The sequence below is a fragment of the Homo sapiens genome, chromosome X (genome assembly GCF_000001405.40).
Source record: "Homo sapiens chromosome X, GRCh38.p14 Primary Assembly".
NCBI classification, from domain to species: Eukaryota; Metazoa; Chordata; class Mammalia; order Primates; family Hominidae; genus Homo; species Homo sapiens.
This window is the reverse complement of record NC_000023.11, coordinates 45,744,287-45,770,286: the sequence shown is the minus strand read 5'-3', so window position 1 is coordinate 45,770,286 and position 26,000 is coordinate 45,744,287. Positions and strand designations below refer to the sequence as shown.

At 38.1% G+C, this 26,000-nt stretch overlaps 1 long non-coding RNA gene and 2 other non-coding genes across 3 annotated transcripts; all 3 read left to right on the top strand.

Moving 5' to 3' along the window:
• Positions 1–19: 19 nt before the first annotated feature.
• On the top strand, positions 20–25,073 carry MIR222HG (miR222/221 cluster host gene). The gene is made up of 2 exons (NR_170290.1): positions 20–202; positions 335–25,073. It is a non-coding gene; the product is annotated as a miR222/221 cluster host gene (long non-coding RNA).
• MIR222 (microRNA 222) lies at positions 23,163–23,272 on the top strand. The gene has a single exon (NR_029636.1). It is a non-coding gene; the product is annotated as a microRNA 222 (primary transcript).
• MIR221 (microRNA 221) lies at positions 24,021–24,130 on the top strand. Its single transcript, NR_029635.1, has one exon. It is a non-coding gene; the product is annotated as a microRNA 221 (primary transcript).
• Positions 25,074–26,000: the final 927 nt, after the last annotated feature.

Here is a 26,000-nt window from a genome sequence, read left to right as displayed (position 1 = left end):
TTGGGTCGGGCGTCCGGCCACTCTCCTGCCTGGGCTGCTGCTCAACGGGGGCTGGGGGTGTGTGGGGCGGGGGTGGTCTGTCCAGTGATTCAGCCACATGTGATAGATGACCAAGTGACTGCTTTCTTGGAGTCCGCACACCAGTGGAAGACTCTCAAAGTGGTTGTGACCGACTTGATCAAACTCTAGGCTTCCTGAACTGGTAACTGTCACTTTAATATAGGTTACTGATTAAACTCAGAAAAATGCAGCTTAAAATCTTTGCCAGGAACTTGTGTGGACTTATTCCCTGTTCCCCCCCCCACCCCCCTTGTTCTGATTTGTTTTGTCACAGGAATGAAATGCAGATAACTCTTTAGAAAACTTTTGTAGGAAAAGCGCCTCGTGTGATCTGGAACAAAGACGTTTTATAATCAGATTTATCAAGCTGCGAAGAGGGAGTTTTAGTGAACGGAAGCAGCAGCATTCTGTCACCAGGAAATACTCCTTTATCCAGAATTGGTAAGTGAAAAGTGGCATTGCTCCCTAATAGATATCATATGCGTGTGTGGGAATTGAAAAATTGTTCACAGACCCCTAACAACTGTGTTGAACAGAGAACACATAAACAGTGAGGAGTTCTAAAAAAGAGCAGCACGAGAATACCGCATAAAGACTGAGAAGAAGCCAGGTAATTAACAAAAATGAGCTGAGTGCTATCAGTTTAGCTAAACATATGTAATACAGCTAGATTTGGTTGTTTTATTTTTTCTTGTTAGTGGAGGAGAAACATAAAATCAGAATGGGCTGTTTAGTAGAATTGCGACATTAACTTTCCATGGATGTAGATTTCCATTTAGTCTGAATAGCATGTATGAAATTTGAAGGGATGCTTTCAGAATTAGTCTACTTGCCCTCCTTTCCTTTCCTCTGCATTAAGATGTCAAGTATTTAGTTAGAACCTTACAAGATGAAAGTTGTACAAAATGAAAGTTCAAGTAATGCGTCGGAAACACCTCTCCTGATTGGGAAGGGTAGATTACAATGGCAATAGATTTTTGTTTTTTGTTTCTTACATTTGTGTCACGAATTTTAAGTTTGTTCTATTGGATTACATTAGTACAGCAAAAGGGGGGTTATTTCTATCTATATGGTTCATGACATTTTGAGAGGTCGTGATTAGTAGTTCTTACTGGTTTCGTATGCGTGTTCCTGCCTGTTGAATTCAGTTTTCTAATCTTGAATCTGAGCTGCCTTTATGTTAAAGGGTTCTAGAAAAAGACAATAAAGCTTTGAATACCCGTGTTATATACAACAGGTTCCTGTTCATGATGTATAAGGTAACGCAATTTTATTTTAGGCATGAATGTCTAATTTCTTGATTTGGCTTCTTAAGAATATACTGAAAAGGTTGAATAGAATAAGAAAAAGAACATTAGAAAAGAATGGTGGGTGACTGCCTGATTTTACTAGTTTCTTATTGGTCAATAGAAGTAATCATGTGATGTCTACTTATAGAAGCAAATGGAAAAAATTTTTCTTCTTTAACTGCTAACAAGTATATAGGCAATTTTAGCAATCTTCATTTATTAATTTGAATATATAATTATAACTGTTATTAACAGAATAAGTTTTGGGTAATATAGGAAATAATAATTATTTCTTTCTTTTTAAGCCAAATTGGAAGTTGAATCTACTTTTGGTTCCTGTTCTGTTACTTTCAAAATCTTAAAATCCTTAACTCAAAAGGGAAAATGTATAATAAAACAGGATAGCAGTGCTGAAATTTCTCTCTCTTAGCAGTGGAGTGGGATGAGGGTGGGGGAGGGAGATGAATCTAGTGAGATATATTAATTGTTTTTTCCCCCTCTTGTATACTTGGATAACTTTTGAGATCAGTTTTCTCAGACTAGCAGCTCTCAAGACTTTTGCATAAGTATTTATTCTTAAAGAAATAGAAAGACAAGATAAGCACGGCTCTTAAGGGCAGGTCCTCCAATAAGTCAGGAAACGGGTGATCCAAACTTGTGAACATGACAAGTCAATTTGACTTAATTAAGGAATGGCATTAGTTTTCTTGAAGCACATGAATTTATAGGTTTTTAGAGTCTTGAAGACAGAAAAATGGCAACAAAGCATTAAGGTATTTACAGATAATTTATATTCAACTGCTAGCTTATGTTTTCAACTCTGTATTTCATGTAAGTAAATACTTGGGGAGAACATGATGATTTAATAATCTGGATAAATACTGCCGTGCCTGTTGGAAAAAAGCCTCTAATTTTTAGGTTTTCCTCATCCATTTAAAATCCATTGTTTTGAATGACAAAATGTGATAGAAACAGGTTGGAACAGTAAATGCTAGAAAGTATATCCCAGAAGAATTAACTGAGAACTTCATGTTTTCAATTCTATTTGCCGTTCTCTGTTCTCAATTTGTTAATTTTTAAAAGTACATCGAAAGTGAGTAGCATTGCTTGCTCTGAATTCTCCTCTGGGGTCATTGAGAGTATTCACATTTTCGTATACCCTGTTAAAAGATATTAATGCCATGCATATGCCTTTGTCTTTGTGGGTGTGTAAAACAACAAACTGAAGGGATCTGGTCAAGAGACAGACCTCAAAATAATTTCTCTGAAATAGTGTTTGAATTTGCATGTTCGGGAACGTAAATGCTTTCCCTTTGGGCTTGTTTCTTAAGTTTTTGGTGTAGTATACAGTTTTACCCAATTAAATTTTTCTTTTGAGGTCTGTATATGTATGGGTGTCTATATTTGATTTGAAGGGGGAGTTTTAATCATTAGTGAAACAAGTGGCTGTTTGTTAGAACCCAGATAAGCCTCATAGTGTTGTTCCTATGACAACTGAGTAGTTGGGTGTTGAAATGTAGCTTTAAGTTCTTGGTTTGGAAATGTCATTCAGACCTCCCACTATAGTCTCATTGAGTAGGAGGATAATGAGAAGGGGAAAAACCATGAAGCAACATAAGTATCTCCGTTCGTTTCATGTCTTCCTGACTTGTCTTTGTGTACAGGATCGCCATGGGAGTGGTAAACATAGGTCTTGAACAAAGCAATACTTCAATTAAAAAAATACATGGAAAGGGTCAGAAAAGTTGGGGAAGATAAATAACAACACATGGGGGCAATAAAGAGGCAAGAGAAATAGGCTTCCATGGGTTTCTGCAAATCCTTTATCCAGTGCTGACCAGCAGTGAGAACATCTTGAACCAGTTATTGTATAGCTCTTCAAGAGCTGTGAATTTCCTTAAAATGCAATGTGGAGAAAATTCCTTTGGTAGCAGGATGGTTTACCACTTTGGCATAACGTTTATTCATCTCCCCCAGGCAGACTACAGAGGATACTGTGTTCTTTTAAGGCACATGTTTTTAAACCAGTTGTTCATTTGTCATTTAATAGCTTTTGTCTTTTTTCTATGGGAAAGACAAGGTTGTACTATTAAAATAGTGATAAAATTTAAGTATTTTATTCTATATTCAAAAAGTGCTTTTGAAAAGTACTTAGAAAAAGATTGTTTGAGACCTGTTGTTTGTGGAAATGTCTGTCAATGGAGAATCTATGGAGCACTGTATTTGAGGAGAGGGATTGTTCAGACTAATATTTGGCATAGCTTAATTATGCAGTTGTTGATTTTCCATGTCTGAAGGTCTTCCTATTTCCTACTCCTAAATAGTTTTAACTATTTATTTGGTTGCTAGAACCTCCTGAAGTTAGAAAGAAAAAGATTTCAGTGGGGTTAGTCTCTTAATAAATATATGCCCACCATCTCTTCTGTAATCCAAAAAGCTCTGAAAATCAAAAGATTTTCATGTAACAAATTTGGCAGCAAATCCTGACCTGAACTGATGTGAAGCTAATGATAGTCTTTGTTTAGCTCGCTCAGAATGAATCTTTGTATGTTTTACTGTAGAAGTATTAATGTGTTTGATCACGGAGTATTGTTCCAGACTCCCCTAGAGGTTTATATACTATATTGAATAGTCAACCTATTACCTTTATAAAATAATAATAATAATCAATCTGAGTGTCAGGTAAGCATTTGTGGACCCATAATTACTGACATACATTGAGTTCATATTATATGCCGGGTACCATTCTAAATGAATCACTGGCATCTAAGAACAGTGTCTGGCACATAGTAGGTACTTAGTAGACACGTTTTGGTAGGAACTGCTTTACACTTATTAAATTCTTTAACTCACAAAAACAGTATACAGGAAGTAGCGGAGCCAAGATTTGAAAGCAGACAGTCTAGCTCCAATCTGCTCTTAATGATTCTGATGCAGGTACAAGAGAGGACTGGAGATGTGGCACTGGACTTCTTAACTGAGTCAGAGGGGGTGTTTGAGTGATTTACTTTATTCATAGTCACCCTATACCTCCTACGATCAAGAGCTGGTGGTATCACCACTATGGTCATTAGCCGGGGCTGTGGTTGAATGCTTATAACAGGTTCTCCTGGGTGGGAGTGTAGGAATTCCAGGGGTCTGAACTCTCCTCACAGGCTTCCCAAGGTGATCTCCATCAGTAAATCAGCCCGACTTTTTCATCTTGAAAAATTAAGACATAGGAAATAACTCTTTCCTTAACCCTAAGGAAGTTTCCTTGAACAGTGGGAAAAACGTTTTTGTAGACATTCCTTAGACCCCTTACCCAGCAGGAGGTGTGGAATCAATAAAGAGGGCATGGGTCACCTCCAAGGTTGTGAGCTCCCTGGCTTGGGAACTACACTGGGACACAGCAGAGCCTCTTGGCAGAAATCAGGCAGCCCATGGAGCTTCAGCTGCATGACTCTTTGAATTCACAAAAGGATACCTTTAACAGTACTTCTCAAAAAATGTATATAAGGCATGTCTCAAGTCCCTATATGTTTCTAGGGATAAAAAAATTCATTTCAAACTGATGGCAACCTCCCCATTCTATTCCCCAGCTTTCTATCCTTCTTCCTGCTTAATTTTTCTTCTTAGCACTTGCCTCTGTCTGACATATTGTATGTCTTACTTATTTATTCATTTGACATTTTAATTAGACACTAGCAGTATTGTTTTCTTTGAATACATTTAAAGGTCCTAGATTTATTTCTTTTTGATGCTCATCTTCTAACTCATTCCCTCCTATCAATCTCAGACTGCTGTAAATAAATGATTTTTTGCCTTTTTTTTTTTTTTTTACTATTAGTTATCATATTTATTTTTCTTAAACAAGCTGTACTGGTTATACAGTCTGAATTTGGAGAATAGACGTCTTCATTCAGGAGGGGAAATTGAGCCAAGTTTGAATATAATCATTGGGTAACAAATCCAGAAGATTAAGTTACTAAGGAGAACATGCAAAGTAAACACTTGCATTTTATGAACTACCTTCAATTTAAATAGACAACTGGGTAACTGTATATGACATGTTTTGGGAGTAAGACCTGTTAAACCTACCTACTTCCTACTGTTTTCATTTGAAAAATAAATCAATTATTAAACAGTTATTCTACACATTAAAGACTGTAAGTGATTTAACCTTGAATATTTCCTGACTCAAGTTCTTAAAATCCTCAACTCTAACCTCTTGTTTTTCAACCCCATATTTATTCTAGTTTATTCTTTCCAACATATTTAGGGCAATCTAAAACATAAAGTAAAAAAACCCCCACATATATTATTAACTATAAACAATGTGGTTATGTAAATGCATCATTTTAGTTGATCTTTTTTCTTTAGCCTAGTTCTTTTTTTCTTTTCTTTTCTCTCTCTTTTTTTTTTTTTTTTTTTTTTTTTTGAGACAGAGTCTTGCACTGTCACCCGGCCTGGAGTGCAATGGTGTGACCTTGGCTCACTGAAACCTCCACCTCCTGGGTTCACGTGATTCTCCTGCCTCAGCCTCCCGAGTAGCTGGGATTACAGGCACACACTGCCACGCCCGGCTAATTTTTTTTTATTTTTTATTTATTTATTTTTTATTTTTAGTAGAGACGGGGTTTCACTATGTTGGCCAGGCTGGTCTTGAACTCCTGACCTTGTGATCTGCCCGCCTCAGCCTCCCAAAGTGCTAGGATTACAGGTGTGAGCCACCGCGCCTGGCCTAGACTAATTCTTAAAGGAACAGATTAGATACATACAAAAGTTGAATTTAGTATGCTTTTGTAAGTTAATATAATGATTGGGACATTTTGTTTTCTTAGCTATGCTTTATAACAAAATAGTTCTAGTTACTTTCTTTTAAATGGTTACTAAAGTAATAACTTGCTTTTTAAAAACATAGTATAACTATTTAAGGTAGACTATGAAGAGTAGGCTGAGGTTTCATTTTAAATTATCTCCTCTTTCTGCCATGGAAGAGTTTAATTCCCCTGATGTGCTTATGGTATTGAAAGCCCATTGTTGGTGTTGGTATTGAAAGAAAGCTTAGTTTTTCTGCGTTTCCTAAAAGGAGAGGGAAGAAAGATTTTTAAAAGTGAAAATCCATTGATTTTTTTTTTTCTTGATTAGGATTTGTATAATATATCTGAAGTGAGACTAGAGTTCTTAAAGTTGAGAGAAACAGTAAATATGTACACGCCCGGCAAAACTTTGCAGGGAACATTCAGAGTTCGGATTACCTGAAAAAAATCTTGAAAGCTTCAGACATTTTCCAGAGAGTGTTAGTGCGTGAAAGTGGTACCCATGACCCCAAGAGGGTGTCCATTCACAGCCTCCATTGAAGTAGTTTACTCCCTAAGAGGCCCAGGCTTTGGAAATAAGTAGATTTGTGCTTTAAGCTCCCTTTGCCCCTTGCTAGCTGAGTAAGCTACTCCGCTATTTCCCTGAGCCCCAGAGTGTAGAGCATCAGAAGTAGTGCACAGGTTTGTTGTGTGAGATAACACATGTAAAGCACATGCTGTGGGACCTGGAGTAATGGTGCTTAACACACTTGCATTCCCTTCCAAAATCCCTTTAGGAACAGACTTCTTCAGTTTAGTCCTAAAGCCTGTAGATCCATGCTAAGTGATATGACTTTTTTTCACATCAGATTAAGCAAAACACTGATGATGGTGACTGTCGCTTATTGTGCAGTTACCATGTTCTGGACAGGCACTGTTGTAAGGGCTCTACCTGCATCGACCCATTTTTCCTCATGACAAACTATTGGTGCAATTATCATGCCCATTTCATAGATGAACACACAGAGGCACAGAGAGGTAAAGGAACTTACTTAGGGCCACTCATCTGTCATGGAACCAGAATCTAAATCCAAATAGGCTGTTGCCAGTACAGATGGTAAGTACATGTACTTCTGGCAGGAAAGCAGAATAAAAGTTGACTGAACCTGAAAGTCTCGGAAATGGTCTTCTCATTTCTATTCTGTAAAGTGTCACGTCTTCTAGGCCTACCTCTGTCAATATTGAAATACAAAATTAACTTTTTCTGCTTTTTATTTCACAAATCAACGGGAACAGTCTTAGTCATTTGTGTTTTATGAGTTTTAATTAGGCCACTGCAGTCCAGGAGGGGAATTCCTTGTTTTCAGTTGATCTCATATACTAACAAGTTTAATCATGTAACTTCCCCTATTTTTTTCTCTAATGTTTTCACTTGAAAGTGGGGGTGGGAGGGAGAAGTATGTTAGCATTTGAGTCCTAGGGATGCACTTACATCAACCTTTCTGGAAATTCCTTCTTGCTGGTATAGAACTAATCCATAGAAAAATGAAATGTGTAAGAATCTGTATTTACTAATATTTTTCTTCTTTATCTCCATCTAGTTCTGGATATTTTCTGGAGGATGGGGTAAAACTTCTAGATAAAGAAGTACAGGAAGCCATCTATGTGCATAAAACCTTATGTTTGGGTGTGGACTTAATTTTCAGAATATGGGAAAGGGGTTTCACATTGAGAATTTCCTCTTTCTGATGTAGATTGAGAATTTTGACTTAGAAGATGAGGGCATGTTATCCTAGCCCGTGGGTTCAGAGTGCTTGGAAGTCTCTTTAAAAAAAAAAAAAAATCCCCTGGCCTTGGACTGAGCCTGCTCTTGGAGGATTTATTAATCATGCCGGCCTTCATTCTTTCCTTTGTTTGTTCATTCCTTCATTTGTCCATACTCTCGCATAAGTCATTCAACATCTACCTGCAAATAGGTGAAAGAAAGGATGGGAGTGAGAGTCCATCAGGGGACGGGAGAGGAGAAGCAATAAACTCACTCTATGTTCCTTTCACCTCACTGACTGCATCTTGTATCTGATTGTTTGTCCCTTTGGAGACAACGTATATTTCACAGACAGACACTCACAACACTCATGAAGGTCTTTAAGCATCTTCCTTTGGGAGCTGCATTTCTTTTTTTAAAGTGAGAGGAGAAAATGCTTGTGAGGGAAAAACAGTGCAGAGAAATGGTTTTTCTTTCTTTCTTTTTAATGTTGGCGGAAGAAGGGTTCATAGTAGGGAACGTATCAGTAAATATAATCTAAGAGCACTCATGCTTTCAAATAATTTCCTTGTTTAAAGATATTAAGTGCAGTAGCGTTTACAATTAATGATCACAACCAGTTACAGATTGCTTTGTTCTTTCTCTACTCCTGCTGCTTCACCTGCCTACGCTTATAATAAAAGAACATTAAGAGACAACAAAGGCCATCACAAAGATGTCTTCAAAAATAATTTTAAAATAGAATTTTAATTAATTTAAAGGTAAGAAGTGTTGCCATGCCCTCAATCAAATTTATTATGACTTTTTGAAAATATCTCTAAGTAAATATATAGAAAATGAGGAATGAACATAGGGGAGGGCTTTTGGAATTTATACTACTATTCTTTCAAAAAATATTACTCGTCTCCATGTTGCAGTTAGGAATACGCTTCCTTAAGACAGAGTCATTATCTTTACTTGTTATTTAAATCTTGATATCACCTCCTATAGTTTTTGAAAGACATCACTCTTCAAGTTGTCTTCAATGGCACAAACTATACCTGTGCATTTTCTGAAACAAGTTTGACCATACCAGCAAAGGCAATGAAAATGCTTTGTCTTTCAGCATGAAATGTGAAGTCTACATTATTAGTGGGTATATATGGCCCAAGGGAAGAAAATGTTGAAGTAGATTTAAAAACAAAAACAAAATCACTCACACTCTAAAAGAATGTCTCAGTATTTCAAGGCTCTTCTCTCTCTCTGTGTTAAAACCAATAAGGAGGCCTCAGGACAAGTTAGGTTGATAATGACAGTGAATATCTACCTTTCTCCCCATTCCGTTTGACATCCATACTCCAAAAGACCTTCCCTTATTTGCTATGCATGGGTAGCAGGGAGATTATAGAGAAACTGTTCTTTTTCCTGCTTTCTTTTTTTACTGCTGGGGGAGTGATCACTTTCCTACAGCTCTTGTCCACCTGGCCCTTGAGGCGTTTGGAGTTTTGGTAAGGTGTTAACAAAAATTGTCTCAGGTGCCAACTAAATTTCATAAGCTTATAGCAGCACAACAGACTAAGACACCACATGGGAAATGTACATTTTACAAAAATATATTATACATCTACCATGTCTACCATGTGCCTTAGAGAGTTCTGGGTCTGGTAATACAGCAGTGAATAAAGTCCCCGCTCACATGGAGCGGGTAGGCTGATGGTGATGGAACTCATAAGTATACGGCAGGTGTTAGTAAACACTGCGGAGAAAAATAAAGCTGTGTCAGAGAGAGAGTACCTGGGGATCAGGGGTAGAGCGACGTTAACCAGGGCTAATAGGAAGGCCTCTTTGATGTTATTAGGCCAGTGAGGAATCAGCTGTGGGAGTGTCTGGAGGAAGAGGATTCCAGGCAGAGAAAATAAAAAAGTAACTGCAGTAGAGACGGGAGCAGGCTTTGTGTGTCCAAGAGACACATCATGGCAGATCAGGTAGGACTCTGTTGGCCACAGTAAGAAGCTGTTTGGAAGGTAGGAAATGATAACTAGAGAGAGTGAAGATGGTATTCTGAGAGTCTATGTGATTTATTGTAGGGATCCCGGAGAGTCGAGCCCCTTGTGCCTCATAACTGGAGTGTTTACAAGCCGTGTAAGGCCTTCTTGCAGTAAAATGCTACTTTTGTAATTTAAATTATTATGCTATGAAAACCTTAGCAAAGATAGATAAAGTTGAACTATTTGAAGCACAATTACAGCTAAAAAGCGCAAAGTGGGCAATTCTTCCTATCACATCTACTCCTCAGAGAGATGTGGGGTACCTGAATGTCTAACTGTGGAATGTTTTGATTTGATTTAAATTTGCCAAAAACTCATCTTCCATAAGGCATATCTTTGCTGATTTTTGCACTCAGTAACAAGCAGTTTAGAATTTTGAACTGAAGGGATTTTAAATCCATGTTTAAAGTGCTTTCATTTTAAAATAATTCTTAGTTTTATGTTCAGTCAGATGATAAGCTCCTTTTTAAAATTCTGTATGAAAACTTACTGTTTGGTACAGGTTAAGAAGTCTTGTTATACAGTACTTATTTTATTGGAGGTACAAAGAGAGTGTGGAAAAATAAAGGCAATTGGCCAGGTGGGAAGGGTAAAATTGTTTTATGTACCTTTTCTCTTGTAAAGTTGTGTTAAAAACATTTTTGTAATTTCTTAAAGGTAGAGTTGATTGCCATAATTTGATTGCAGCCCCCTGTCATTACTTCACTATTATACTCGGATACTAAATGCCCCTTACTAAATCTAAGGAAATGGGCAAGTTCTGTCATCTGGGAGTTTACATGTTAAGAGACATTGCACGGGTGAGAACAGACATAAAATGTATATGTAATTATATCGACAACATACAGGGCTTAGAAAGGGGCTTGATAGCCTTTTATAGGTGTCGTCCAGGTTTATCTTACTTGAAATACTGCCTGAGACTCTATACCTAATTCTTATCACATAGCCTTTCTATTAGTCAATGATAGATTTGGGTTGGGTTAACCCTCATATTCTTTTAGCAAGGGACCCACCTGCAGAAAAGAGTTATTATTGGTTTTGTCATTTATAGTTTAGTTCAACAAGACCGGATTTCCTCACCGCCTTTGGCTGAAACTGACTGACTAAATCAGTTTCACTTGTGGGGTAGAGAAATGAGTAATTTGGGAACATAGAGTGTTGTGTGGAGGAGAGCTTAGTTTGCTCCTCTTCATCCTCCCCTTAGGTAAGAAGTCTGCATTGAGAGAGGGAGAAAGATTTGGGACATCATGGGGAAACTGACCCCCTTGGGTGAGACACATTGGGAATTAAGAGAAAGATGTAAAAATGGACCAGGAGAGGATGTACAGAAGCCCCAGGGGAGCCAGAGAATTTCTGGTCCTAAGCTCAAGTGTCAGCCTCAGTTCTGCCTAGCATCTTGGACATGCTGTCCCTGCTGGCTTATCTCCTGTAAGACAAGGGGCATACTCCTGACTTACTGAGCATCCCATCTCAGAGGAGCTGGGAGTACAAGGAATTCAGGAATGGACTTTCAAGACAACATCTAACCCGAGTCTTCTGCAGACATTTCTCTACTGAATCTACTTTCTAAGTGTAGATTAGTGTCTAAGAGATAGACATTAAGTTTCTTTTTCTACCAGCCTCTGACCCCCTTGCTTTGAGGAAAACACATGTGTTGTCCACGAAGTGGTGAGTTCTGTTTGGTCCTTCCTCTAAGATTGGTCCGGGGCTTGAGCCGTTTTGCCCCATGTGCTCTGGGATTTCCCCCGGTTGTCCCCCCATATAAGTAGACAACTTGCTGTCTGTGTTCTAAGACCTTCATATTTTTCCCTTTGACTTGAGTCTGTTCTGGAACAATTGTGTGGTGGCTGGGCACTGCAAAATGAGTCAGTTCCTGCAGTTTGGTTACAAGTTCTCAAAAAGTATTTCAGAATGTGGATGTGGTCAGCAGAGTCATTTTCCAGACATCTAAAAGGAAACCCACATCAACTGTAACAATTGAGCTACGAACCGATGGCTCTACACAACCGAATGGGGCCTGCTTTTCCTCAAAGCCTGTAGGTGCCCTCAAATCTAGCATTCTCTATGGATCGGAAAGGAGAATTCATCTTCATGCTTGTAGATCACATTTTATCTGTTACTGTTGACATAAAAAAATGCGATAGAGGTTTTGGCCTTCATCACCTTTTGAATGTGGGCACAAATTTGACATAAGAAATAATTAGTAAAATGGAATCTATGGGATTAGAGTATAATTAGTGCAAAGTGTGAAATGTGGCTTAGGGATAGATGCTTGGGTAATTGAACTAATGCACGAAGGAGAGGTTAAGATGGTTTGGGTACCGATAGAGTACATCGAAATATGCTTATTTGGTTTACTAATAGTCTGAACCTGTGCAGACTTAGCAGCAATACTGATAAAATATCATTAAATCCTTTTCAAGCTTTAAAAGAAGTTCAGATTTGTCATAACATTTGGAGAATATTTTCGCTCCACACAAGTTTTGGAAAATAATCTTTGTGAATTTTTTTATCCTCTTGGGTATCATGAATTGTAAAATTTTGTTGCAGTTCTCAGTTACCAGTCTTGCTCCACTCATTAAAACTGATGGCATTTTCAATAATAAGAAAACAAAATTTAAAAATGGGTAAACGATTTGAACAGACACTTCACCACAGAAGATACGCAAATGGCAGATAAGCACAAGAAAAAATCTTTTCAATGTCATTAGTGAAACACAAGTCAAAACCACAGTGAGGTACTGCTACACACCTATCTGAATGGCTAAAATTTAAGAAGCCAGCCATGCCAACTGTTGGTAAGGATGTGTAGGATTTAGAACTCTCATGTAAAATGATACAAACATGTCAAACATACACCTATCATATGATTCAGCTGTTTCACTCCCAGAGAAAAGAAAGCATGTGCTCACCTGAAGACTCGTACGTGAATATGCATAGTAGTTTTATTAGTAATAGCTAAAAGCTGGAAACAATCCTAATGTCTATCAACAGGTAAATGGATAAACAAATTGTGGTGTATCTGTATGATGGATACTACTCAATAATAAGAAGGAATGAACTATTGATACCTTCAATAACATGGATGACCCTAACCCATGAGAGTCATATCATATGATTCCATGTATACAGAATTCTGGAAAATGTGAAAGCAGATCAGTGGTTACCTGGGGTAGGGGAGATGGGGGTGGCAAGAAAGGGGTTACAAAAAGGCCCGAGAAAACTTCCGGGCTGGTGGATAATTTCTGTCTTGTGTTGATGGTTTCATGGGTGTATATATGTCAAAACTTATCAAATTATACAATTTGAATATGTGCAGTTTATCGTATGTCAGTTATTCCTTAATTCTTAAAAAAAACTTAAAATAAGAAATCATTGTTATAGTAGATGGAAGGCTTTAAAATGCCCTTATTTGGCAAAATCAGCATTTCTTGGGGGGAGGGGGGAACCTGATAGAGTTTTAATGGTTTGAGGACAGAAATACGACCTTCTAGTACAGATGAGAAACCAAAGTTAAACAGTGAACATAATAAATGGGATCTCTTTAGTCCCTTTTGTTTACAAAGCATTTGAACAAGTGGTTCAGGAAGTATCTTTTCCAGCATGGTGGTTCCAGCTGCCTGCCCGACTTCTAAGCATTAGCACTTAAACAAACTTACTGTAGCAGTCTACCGTGCAATGTGGCTAAGACATCCAAAGTTGCTGTGTTCAGATTGCAAAGATAAGACATGAAAATCCCCACTTTCAGATTCTATCATTGTTGGAGAAATAAATCTCTCATATTTACACAGTGCATGAAAATTTATGTATTTCCAGCTGTATTGAGGTATAATTGACAAATAAATTGTATATATTCACAGTGTGCAATATGATGTTTTGGTATATGTATACATTGTGAAAGGATTACCACAATCAAGCTAATTAGCGTATGTATCACCTCACATAGTTATCTTTTGTGGTGAGAACGTTTTAAGATTTTTCTCTCTTAGCAAATTTCAGGTATATGATGTAGAATTATTAACTATAAAGTATTTTCATAAACCTCATCCTGTGAAATCCTTTCAATGGTCCTATTACAGGTAGGATCAGTATTATCCTCGTTTGCTTTGGCAGCAAACTGAGACCCAGAGAAGCCAAGCTACTTGGCCAGGAATACAGAGCCCCCATCTTCTTGCTCAGAAATCACCATTCTAACTACTACACTTTGCTTCTTCCTCAAACTATTGTCATTGAGTGTTTGGCTAAGACTCTTCACTCACCAATTTGTCAGGTAGTTATTAGAGTTCCTTTTTAAAAATATGAGATGTTCAAGATGATAATTCCCTCTAATCCTCTGTTTCCCCGTTTCTAAATGGGTAATAACACAGCCACCAGCTTCCCAAGTTTGTGACCCTTACACGTGGAAGAGTCATGAAAAGTGGGCAACTCTGTGTACCCAGTGGGTGTTGATGTTACTGTGTGACTGCCCTCTTTGTTCCTGGGTTACTGATCACACAGTACTGAGTGGCTTTGCAAACCCAACAGGGAGACATAGCAGTTTAGTTAACATTAGTTGCCCTATAGCTTCCTTCAGAATTGGAAAGTTGCACAATAAGAAATCCTATGTACTGGATTATTTTAAATTCTTCTTTAAAGGACACTAAACCATCATTAGTTGGGTCCCAGAGACTCACCAAACAGAGCTTAGAGGCAGATACCATTGAGGTTTACTTAGCTAACAAGATTGACCCATGTCTGGCATCCTCCTTTTCTCCTTGGTTGTGTTGCCTGTACATCTCTCCTCCTTATTCTTCATCATTTTCGATGGCCTTCTCTCTTCACTAGCCCTCTAACACACTTTAGAAAATGTTTTGTTTTTTTTTTAAATAACTATTTGATGTATTGGCAAAATGAGCAGTTTTCCTGAGAGTTCTCTGTCTGTCCCGACTGGCACTTCTTTTTTTTTTTTTTTTTTTTCTTTTTTCATATATTGATTTCTTTTAAATTAAATTAAATTTTTTAAAATTTCTGTTGGTTTTGGGGGAACAGGTGGTGTTTGGTTACATGAGTAAGTTTTTCAGTGGTGATTTGTGAGATTTGGGTGTACCCATCACCCGAGCAGTATACACTGTACCCAATTTTTAGTTTTTTTTTTTTTTGAGACAAGTCTCACTCTGTCACCCAGGCAGGAGTGCAGGGGTGCAATCTCGGCTCACTGCAAGCTCCGCCTCCCGGGTTCATGCCATTCTCCTGCCTCAGCCTCCTGAGTAGCTGGGACTACAGGCACCCGCCACCACACTCGGCTAATTTTTTGTATTTTTAGTAGAGACGGGGTTTCACCGTGTTAACCAGGATGGTCTCGAGCTCCTGACCTTGTGATCCGCCCACCTTGTCCTCCCAAAGTGCTGGGATTACAGGCGTGAGCCACCACGCGCAGCCCCAATTTGTAGTATTTTATCCCTCACCCGCCTCCCACCCTTTCCCCGAAGTCTCCAAAGTCCATTGTATCATTCTGGCACCTCTAAAACCAGACATGATTTGTTTTCTTGACTTCGGCTTGAGAGTTCCAATTTCTAACTCTAATGGACTTTAATCTTAGAAAATCAGGGGATATAATCATATGGTAGTGCAAAGAGTATCAAATTTTGTCTAAGGATGACAATCAAAGGGAGCCCTATTTTTTTGTTTTGTTTTTCATCAAATCCTCGAATTTATTCCATCCCTAATTCCGTGGTCCTTCATGGCATTCATAGGGGCAGCTGTGAAGAAAAGTGGTAATGTACCTGACGACTCTCTCCTGTCGGTGTCAGGGTTGCATTTACTATTACTGATCCCAGTAATAGGATGAGTTTGATCTCTCAGCATGAAAAGAATGACCATATTAGGGATTTGTTTGTTCTCCAGACTACAGAAAGTTTGATAACCAGAGTAGGACTTACTGGAGAGATAATGTCAGAATGAATAGAGACTGTCTGTGAGAAATTTGAACGGGCTCAGTGCTGTTACCTACTAGCTAGAAATGGGAAGCAAGGGGATGAATGTGAGGTTGGGGGCATTGAGTCAAGAAGAAGATCAGGCAATTCTGGAGCTAGGTAAATTGGGATCATTCCTGGCTTGTCACATCTACGTGGGACATTTAGACTATCCACGGGCTGGATACCTTAGGAAAGTTCCTTCTGGCTCTGGGACTCACTGCTCTTTCAGCATTGCCAATTTACATCTAGTGTGTTCTTGTTAGAAGTGGAAGGCTCCTCTTCATTTTTGAGCTCCTTGCGCCCTGTCATTTTCTCTGTATGAGAGGGTTTTGCTATTCCTTTTTGAGTGAAAACGACTCCCATAGCATATTGCCATTCACACTCCACCAGGTCTCCCCTTCACACACACACACACACACACACACACACACACACACACACACACCATTCTCTTGTCCTCCCTGAGCCAGTCCTTTCAAGGTTATATCATCCTTTAGTGCCAAGTACCTCCCCTGACCTCTTTCTTCACTCATAGAAAGAGGAACCAGATTTCCCCTGTGTGACTGCCATCAATACAAACAGCAGTTTTGTTTCTGTTATTTCCCCTTTCAACCTAGTGATAAAGTTTGCTGCTGCTGCTCTCCCCACCCCGCACAGGAAGAAAGACTTCCTTCCTTCATCTCTTGACTTTGCCCAGGCCTATGAATAATCTTCGCTTTGTCATGGACTCCGGATGCTCACCTTTTCTAACATTTTTTTTAAACCTCCAAGAGTTACTCCTCAGCCTCCTTCCCTTCCCCACCTTCTGGTTTTCCCTACCTGGTAAACTTCTTATTCTACCTAGTTAATAATAGTGGGCGCCCATGAAGCTCTTGCCTCATTGATGAGTATCTGGGCATTGGGCTTCCCTATGTCCATTTTCTCTTCTGGTGTATTGACTGACGTCTCTCTCCCTGGCTCTTTTCTCACTTGCGGTGGTGCTCCCTCTTCAATATCCTGCTTCCTTTTTACATTCCAGACTGTCATGTTGTAGACCATCTCCAATTGTAAGCTGAGTGCTTGATATTTTGCCATTTTCCTCTTTGTTAGTGTTTTGAATCCTAATTTTTAATCTGATTTTTAATTATATTGATGTTGTTTTTCTAGATACTTATATTTTGCTCTATAGAACTGTCCATACGTTGTCAAAAAACCTTCCACTGTCAGCACAAATACAGTCCAGCATCAACCAATAAGGAGAGAAGAAGGGGTAGAAGGATGCTGTTGTGCTATTATCAAGGCTTTGCATGGTCCTTGGGGTGTACCGAGTTATTTCCTCCAAAACAGTTGAGGTTTCCTTACAACCTGTTGAAGAACTGATCACACGTCCACTGTGTGGCAGCCACTCTGGGAGCAAATACTGGACTTGTAGGTTAGGTCTTTATACTGTAGTCTTTCTTCGTAGTTTGAAAATATCTATTTCCCCTCTTTCCCTTCGTTTAACACATTTTAGAACATTCTTTCTTTAAAAATCTTAATTAGCGTTTCCATTTTCTCTTTGTTACACAAGTAGAATCCATGTTTTCATCCTGTTCCTCTTTGCTGAAGTGTGTGTGTGTGTGTGTGTGTGTGTGTGTGTGTGTGTGTTTTGTACCTGATAGGTCATCAAATAGCATCTGCGGGAAATACATTTAGCCCTTCATCATTTAAAAATCATTTTTATTAGTCTTTCCGAATCTTCACACTTCTTCTGCTAACTATCTTCCTTTCTCTTCCATTGTGGTGTGAGCTATTTATATAAGCCACTTAATTTTAAAAGTCCACATACTGTCATAGAACTCATAATAATTGATACCTAATGTGGTTGAGCTTCTGATAACCATCATAAGCAAAAGAAACTGTATATATGGATGTTCTCTTTCTGGTCTTCCCTCATTACCTGTTCATTTGTCTTAGTTTTATCATTTTACTGGAGTAGATTTTATTTCCCTGAGGACCCTTCTGTGCTACAAACCTGTGATGGTACACAAACACACTCTAAGACAGTGCTTTCACTAGTCCATACTTCTGTTAAAAGGAACATACACTCTTTTACAAATAGCATGATCTTATAAGCACCCACAAATCTTACAGAAAGCTACCATAAAACTAAGAGAGAAAGCAAGAAATGTTTAAAGGATGAAGAAATACAAGAGTTTCCCTGAATGGAGATAGTCTTCCACTGTGTGTGTGTGTGTGTTTGTGTTTGTTGTTTTTTGAAATGTATCAGTATAGGTGTCAGGCATTTTACTGTCTATTCACTCACATTTCTTTATTTGACAAATATTTACTAAAAGGTGACTATGATCTAGTGTACTATGCTGGTACCTGGGGAATCTCAAAATTATGGGACTGATTCTTACCCTCAAAGAGCACATATTCTCACAGGGAGACACATTTCTAAACAAATTGAAGAGCAATGTGTCTTGTGTTTCTGGCTGAGACCACAGACTCAGTGATCTGGGAACCAGCCCCCAGTAGTATGCAGCTAACTTTCCAGAGGAATCCAGGAAGGTCCCTTAGCATCCTATAAGAGAGCTGGGCCTTGCAGGGAGGGAAGTGCTTGTCAGGCAGTGTTCAGAAGCCGAATTTTGCTCCTCCATCAGTCCATCTGAGGAGAGGGAAACTTGATGGGAAGATTCAAGGAAGACGACACAAAGAATTTTGTACCATAAGAACATTGTATGACAAAAGAAGTTCTGTACAGTGCCAAAAGCAGAGGCTTGGTAGAGATCTGATTATAAATGAAGGTTGCAATGGTAGACATGTGCGATGTTGATGCCTTTAGAAAATAGCACAAGGCTTAAAAATGAGACCAAATCCACAGAAAGGCCTCGGTAATAGTATAGAGTAGTAATGGGTTAATTGTCACTAAATAAGTCTCTAAGTCATGAATTCTTGAGAGAACTGACTGGTTTTTCTGCTATTCACAAGCTCAGAGAAGTTACTTTATTTTGACGTCCTTCTTTTGTTTTTACTTATCATTGATGGAATGCAAATTATTTTCCTCTTTCTTTTATTTAAAAACGACAAGAATTCCTCACCATCGTTGCACACTGCTGACATTGTATGTAGAGAATGCCTTAGGGTTTTCTTCCAGAGTGTGGGGAGAGGGACAAAGAGAGATATATATGTACATGGATTTAGGGCAATTAATTTCTGAAACTTGTCCATAAAAAGACTGTTTGTTACTTAGGTTAAAACTATCCTTTTCCTCTGAGTGTTTGCAATGAGTAAAATGCTTCATGTTTTCATCTATTGATTGTTTAAAAAATGTTGTTTTTCGTTGAGAAGGATTAAAGGCATGCACCTAATTGTTAAATATTAGTTTTTAAAAAACTAGTCTGAGTCTGTCTTTATGGGCTCTGAGTGGTTTCACCTTTAGAAGCTTGTTTTAGGATCTTGTGCCAACCAGTCCCTTCTGAGGCCTGTTCAGACTAGAATTATCTGGCAGGGGCAATGTCTTTTAAAAAAATGTCTTCAGCAGGAACGTCCCAGAGAATGTTCACCTCAGTCTTCAAGTTGGCTTGCGGAGCAATTTACTAAATAGAGAGATGTGAGAATCAAGTGACCATCAGCTGGTATAAATGTTTTTGGTCAGTGTAGTCACAGGATCTCAGGTATGCAAGAGCTGGACGGGTTTCAACCACGTGCCCGGTTATGGTGATACCCTGGCTCAGTTGCTCTAACATAACATAACACAGAAGGAATCCAAGTTCATAAGAACATACTTTAATTAGACACCTGTATTTAAAAGGCTGATTTCTCCTCTAGCATAATTTCACCCTGTGGCGCACTGTGTATACATGGGTGCATTTCTTCCCTGGCCTACAGTTAGAGTTAATTGGACTTTTTGTTCTTAACGGTGTGGGAGGCAGCTTTTTTTAAAAAAAAAAACAGCTTTATTGAAGTATAATTGATAAAGAACTGCACATATTTCATGTGGAAAATTTCATGAGTTTGGATATATGCAAACACCTGTGATACCATCACCATAATCAAGGTAATGGATGTATTCAACATCTCTCAAAGTTTCATTGTATCCCTTTGGTTTTGTGTCTGTGTTTGTGTATATGTTAAGAATCACTTAACATGAGATATACACTGTGGGTGGCAGTTTTTGTTCACTTCTAAAGTAAACTCTGACTTCATTAGAATAGTGGACTGGCTTATGCTCTGTCAAATCCCTAAACATGATTGTGATAGAATTTGACTCTATTCCTATTTAGTTACAGAAAACTACTGGTGCATGAACAAAAATATGTGAAATATCATGGATGGGGTTTAGGGGGACATGTGGGGCCAGACTTTGTGAGGTTATAGAAAATCATGGAACTGGAAAGCATCTGGAAGTTCTTTTACTCAAAGAAGCATAGATTCTTTCACATTTGTGTTAAAAACAGTGAATTAGACAATTTTGACTTGGTAAAGTTAGCATTCTGGCAATGCTGTGAAATCGTTCATCTCTCTTCATTTACTTCCACATATAGTCCCTAGGGTCAAAATTTCTTTCTAAAAATGATAATTTCTAAAGTCAGAGATGCTTTTTGGGGGCAAAATAGAATTGTCCAGGTAATCAGTTTAAAAGACAGAGTAATTCTACTCTTCCTTCAGTAGAATGACGCACGAAGCAGCATTTCTTTCATTTCCAGTAGAACTTTGATGCGAATGTGACTTTTATCTCTCTCAGTGTAGCTTTAAACATCAATGGGTTTCTTTACTTCTTGGTTTGGTGTATAGGTTGCCCCTGTTCTAACCGTGTGGAGTGTAAGCTCTTCAAATTCTAGGTTAACATTTCAAGAAATGGTCTTTATCCCAGTTCAAAGCAGGCCTTCCAACAGCAGGTGGCAGGCTTAACTTTTAATAGTCTTTCCCTCCCTTTAAACTCTTTCTCATACCTCAAATAAATGGTCTTTAGCCAGAATGTATGGGAGTTTTTGTTTATTATTATTTTTGTTTTGTTTGTTTGCAGTGTGACTAGGACTTGAGCAGAAGTACCTTGGTTACAGTCCTATCACTCACCCTTGGGGCTTAGTTGTCATCTTAATTGTTAGATAACAGAATTATATAACTCAACATTTCTAGTTTGAACCTATTTCTTTTCTTTTCCTTTTATTTTTAAACTGAAAATGCATTATTGGTTAATATTCTATGGTGTTATATATTCTACATATTCTATTCTTTGTGTTTTTAATAAACTTAAAACTGTATAGTATTGTTTAGTGGTTGACACTAATTTACAGAATAACCTTTAATAAAATTTTATTTACAGATTTTCCTATTTGTATTACCTAGATTAAATTTAAAACAAGGGGCAAAAGACCACCTTAACTTTAGTACTAAGATGTGGAGAATAGATACCTTTGAGAATTAAAAATTTACCTTTTCTCATCTAAATGTAAAGATTTATAAAAGATAATCTTTTGTATTTTGGCATTGAAAGTGACCACACTAAACCCTTGCCTCACTTTAATTGTTAGTCTTATTCATAAAAGTAGAGTTATGAACAGTTAGTTTTAGTGGTTTATGAAATGTAAGTTTGTGTGTTCTACAAATGCTTTATTTTACATTGAGGGTAAGACTTAGCCAAACCTATATAAACGGTCTTTTCCCCCACTTCAGTATGTATGCTCTGGTTTGTAGGCAGTGCCAAAATATACTTCATAGATGGGATTGGCCTTAACTTATTTAAAGAGAAAAAAAAGCAAGCAATCAAAAAAACCCCTGCTTCACCTTGTAAATTCCACCCTTATCCTCCCCCACCAAGAGCTAACCACACTGGTGAAGCACTATTACTATAATTTGGCAAGTGAGTTGCCTCTTAAAATTAGACATCTGTGATTAAATAGTTAAATCATTCCCTAGATATGTATATATTTAGAGCTCCCAGAAAGCTGGTTATCTTTTCTTATAGCTAACACATTTTTAAAAAGCCACTTTTCTCTTGGTGATAAATATGTGTGTGTCATACTGTGGTATAGCTGCATGTCCGATCAAATGGTACTAGTTTCCAATTGACAGTAGCTTTATTAAATCTTTTCTAAGTGATAGCTGAAGCATTTTAAATTCACAGCAAAGGATTCTAAGACGTGTACTTGGAGAAAAGTTGCATAGTCATTTACCTTCTAGAATAATCCTAAAAGTAGGAAACAATAATTGGCCATGTGGTCATGTGCTAATAAAAGAACACCTTGTCCAAGATACCAGGCTTTTTCCTGTTTCAGTGCTTTTTGTTCTGACTCTTGCCTCTCCCTGTGGTGTCCTTTCCCACCCCAGGTATGTACATGATTCTTCTCCTCCTACTTCAGGAATCCACTCAAATGCCAGGCCCTCAGTGAGGCTTTTCCTAGCCACCTTATCGAAAATAGCATTCCTCTTAACTGTTTCATTACTCTATGAAATGACCGTCCATATCTATGGAGGTTTTTTTCAGTCTTTTTCTACCCTTTCCTTAAATCTTAGACTTAAACTTCCGTGAGTGCAAGGATTTTGTTCAGTGTTGCATTCCCAGTGCCTGGAATAAAGCACGCAGAAGTATTTCAGTAAGGTACTGAAAGGTACTTATTGAAGGTACTCAGTAAGTATTTCTGGGGTGGATAAATGAATAGCAAAGAGAACACCAATCCTGTGACTTATTTTGTTACCTTCATTGTATCATGGGAGGAAAGCTTGGAACTGACATGCTAGTGAGCACCTGCTTTGAATATTTATTATAATATGCATTTTCTGTAATTTTCTTTGGTGTTTGAGATATTTGGTAAAATAACTGTATTATCCTCAGTTCGTAACACGAAAGAATTTTTTAACTGCAATTTACTTTACATATGTGCATCATTGCTAGATTACCCAAGTTAAAGTGACAGGAAGCAACAAAAATGCTCCAAGCCACAATAAAATGGTAGATTGGTTTTTTGTTTGCTTGTTTGTTTTTCTCTTGTGTATATTTCCATTTTACTGCAAAACATACCAAATAATTGATTGTAGATTTTGTCACAAGGAATCATGTATGCTGTAGAAGTATAGAGATTTTCCACTTTTTTTGTTTGCTGCTGGATCTCCAGCACCTAAGAAAATATGTGGCACTTTATTTAATGTCACTCAGTCAGTATCTGTTGGATAAGTAAATAAATCCAGAGGTTGTTTAAAATTACGTACATGGGAATATTGTCAAAATGTCAATTCATGATCCAAAGAAAATGTGCAATTGAAATCTGATATCTTCTTTTTTCTTCCACAGAGCCCCTCCCCAGAAGGCAAAGGATCACCCAGCTGCTGGAAGGTGTAGGTACCCTCAATGGCTCAGTAGCCAGTGTAGATCCTGTCTTTCGTAATCAGCAGCTACATCTGGCTACTGGGTCTCTGATGGCATCTTCTAGCTTCTGCTTCAGTGTCCTGAGAGAGATTATTGGGCAGTCTTTAATAATGAAAACTTTACCTTGAATTACACACACACACACACACACACACACACACACACACACACACTCACACACACACTCACACACACACAAAGAGAGAGAGAGAGAGAGAGAGAGAGAGACAGAGAGAGAGGAGAGAGTCAAGTTCTAGGGTGTTAAGTCCAACATTATCAGCTGGGGCTTGGGAACCTTCAAGGTTTTATGAATGATGAGGTCTATTTGCTTTCAATACTACAAGGGGGAGGAATCTGGATATTTATCCATGTTTTAGCTCTTACCTGTTTTTGTTTTACCTCTTTTTTTCTCTTTCCCCCCTATGAAAGGTATCATTTGGATAGATCAATCTATTCATCTATCTACCTACCTACCTATCTACCCCTACCCATCCACCCATTTATCCATCCACCCATCCATCCATCCATCCACCCACCTGCCCACGTACCTACCAGTTTATCTATCCGACCTTCCTTCCATCCAGCTTTTTCATCTCTTGACTTTTAGATGGCATTTTCAACATGATGTCATGATTAAATGATGACAACTTGATGATATGATGGTTTAAGGAAATTTTGTTGGTAGTAGGTAAGTCCCAGCATTTCTGACTGTTGGTTTTCTTTTCCTTGTGGTAGAAAAGACAAATGCCAATTTTGAAATCTTGAATGCAGTAGGCAGTTGTGTTGAAATAGTATGTGAGAATTACTTGCAAGCTGAACATCCAGGTCTGGGGCATGAACCTGGCATACAATGTAGATTTCTGTGTTCGTTAGGCAACAGCTACATTGTCTGCTGGGTTTCAGGCTACCTGGAAACATGTTCTCCATTGGCTGTCTCACCAATGCTACCCCTATAATGTTTCTGAATAACTGTTTTCCAGGAGGTATAAACCAGTGGAGTTTATCATTGAATAGAGTGCAGAGAAAGGACCGCAAGAAAGCTGATCACCTCAGCAATGAATGATTTCAATACGATTTCACCCAAATGGTCTCACACACCAGCCTAGTAAACCAGAGATAAGGTGTAATGTCATCCTTCCTTCCTTCTCCCTGCCTCAACTGTCAAAGATTGACAACTTACATGTTGTTTACTTTTTGGCTTCTATTTCTGTTCATAATTATTATCAGAAGGCATAGCACCCACAAGCCTAATCATACTGCCTTACAACCTTATTCCTCTTCATTTTGTCTTCTCACTTACCTGCAGAAACCCAGTTTATTTTTGTTCTCCCTTTACCACACCAGCCTTGTAACTGTTATGAATGACCCTCAATCTCACTGGAATCTGAATCACTCAGGAATTCAAGCAAACTGGATGTTTTAACCACTGTTCAGCTTTCTTATGGAATGACAGAGAACTTGTAAAGATAAAACACCAGTTTGCAGGAAGAAAGGAAGAGAATGGAAATTGCTTCTGGAAAATACTAGTTTTACAATATGTTTTGTTTGTCTGCTCTCTTAAATAAACTTAATCCTATAAACATTTTTTAAGAACTAGCCATTAAGACTGTTAAGTTCTCAATTATAAAGGAATAAAATGTTTTAAGGAGGATTTATTTGCCCTTGCTTATATGAACTGCATATTTTTAGTAGGAAATCATGTAATTTAAATTAGTATTGGTTAACAGATTTAACGTAGAAAATGGACATATAAAGAATACAAGGATAAATGTCTACATGTAATAATGGATGGTAGTGATATAATGCATTTTTGTCATCCCATGCTGAATTCAGTAAAAATAAAGCTAATGACTTGGAGCTTTTAAAAGATTGTACTGTTCTCTGTGTGTGTCTTTTGGCTTCCTACTCACCAATCAGTTCTATTATCTATTCTGTACCTGAGCCACTGGCTTTTGTGACCCGGGAAGAGAAAGTAATTCCACTTAAGACGTTTGACAGGCTTTTAAGAGAAATAAGTGGCTCTGTGCAACATGGTTATGTTTAATAAATCATAATTACCAAAGGGACAGTTTCTCTTCTCCCATGTCCACTCATACTTTTTTTTTTTTTTTTTTAAAGAGATGAGTTCTCATTCTGTCATTCAGGCTGGAGTGCACTGGTACAGAACTCTTGGGCTCAAGTGATCCTCTCGCCTCAGCCTCCAAAAGTGCTGGGATTACAGGCTTGAACCACCATGCCCAGTCCTCCACTCCTTACTTCTGATGTTCTTTGAGTCCCTTTGCCTATCATTAAATGAGAAGGTGTTGACAGTGGTGCCAGGTGTGAAGAACTCCCTAATTCCATTGATAAGTTTACATTTCCCTCTCAGGTACAAGTATTGGGTTGATCCTCAAAGCAAGATTGAATGTTGTGATAATATAATAAGAAAAAGACATATTTGGTCTTCACCCTCAGTTCCTGGAACAGAGCTGCTAAAACTGTCATAATTTTCTAACTAATAGAGGTGATAGCATCTTTTGTTAAAGTATTTGGTCTTAGTCCCCTGTTCCTGACACAAGAGCTTCTAAGATCCTTGGACTCTCTGGAGTGATGAGTGTCTTTCTGTATGCTAACAAGATAATGAGATGACTTGGCTTAGCGGGGAGTAGAGGTGGTGGCAAGTTAGCTTCAGGATGAAGGCTGGTTGTCAGAAAGACCAAGGTATGATTAGAGGGTTGGAGCTTTCAACATTCAATCCCACCCCTGACCTCTGACAACTGAGTTGATCACTGTCTTAGTCCATTCATGCTGGTAT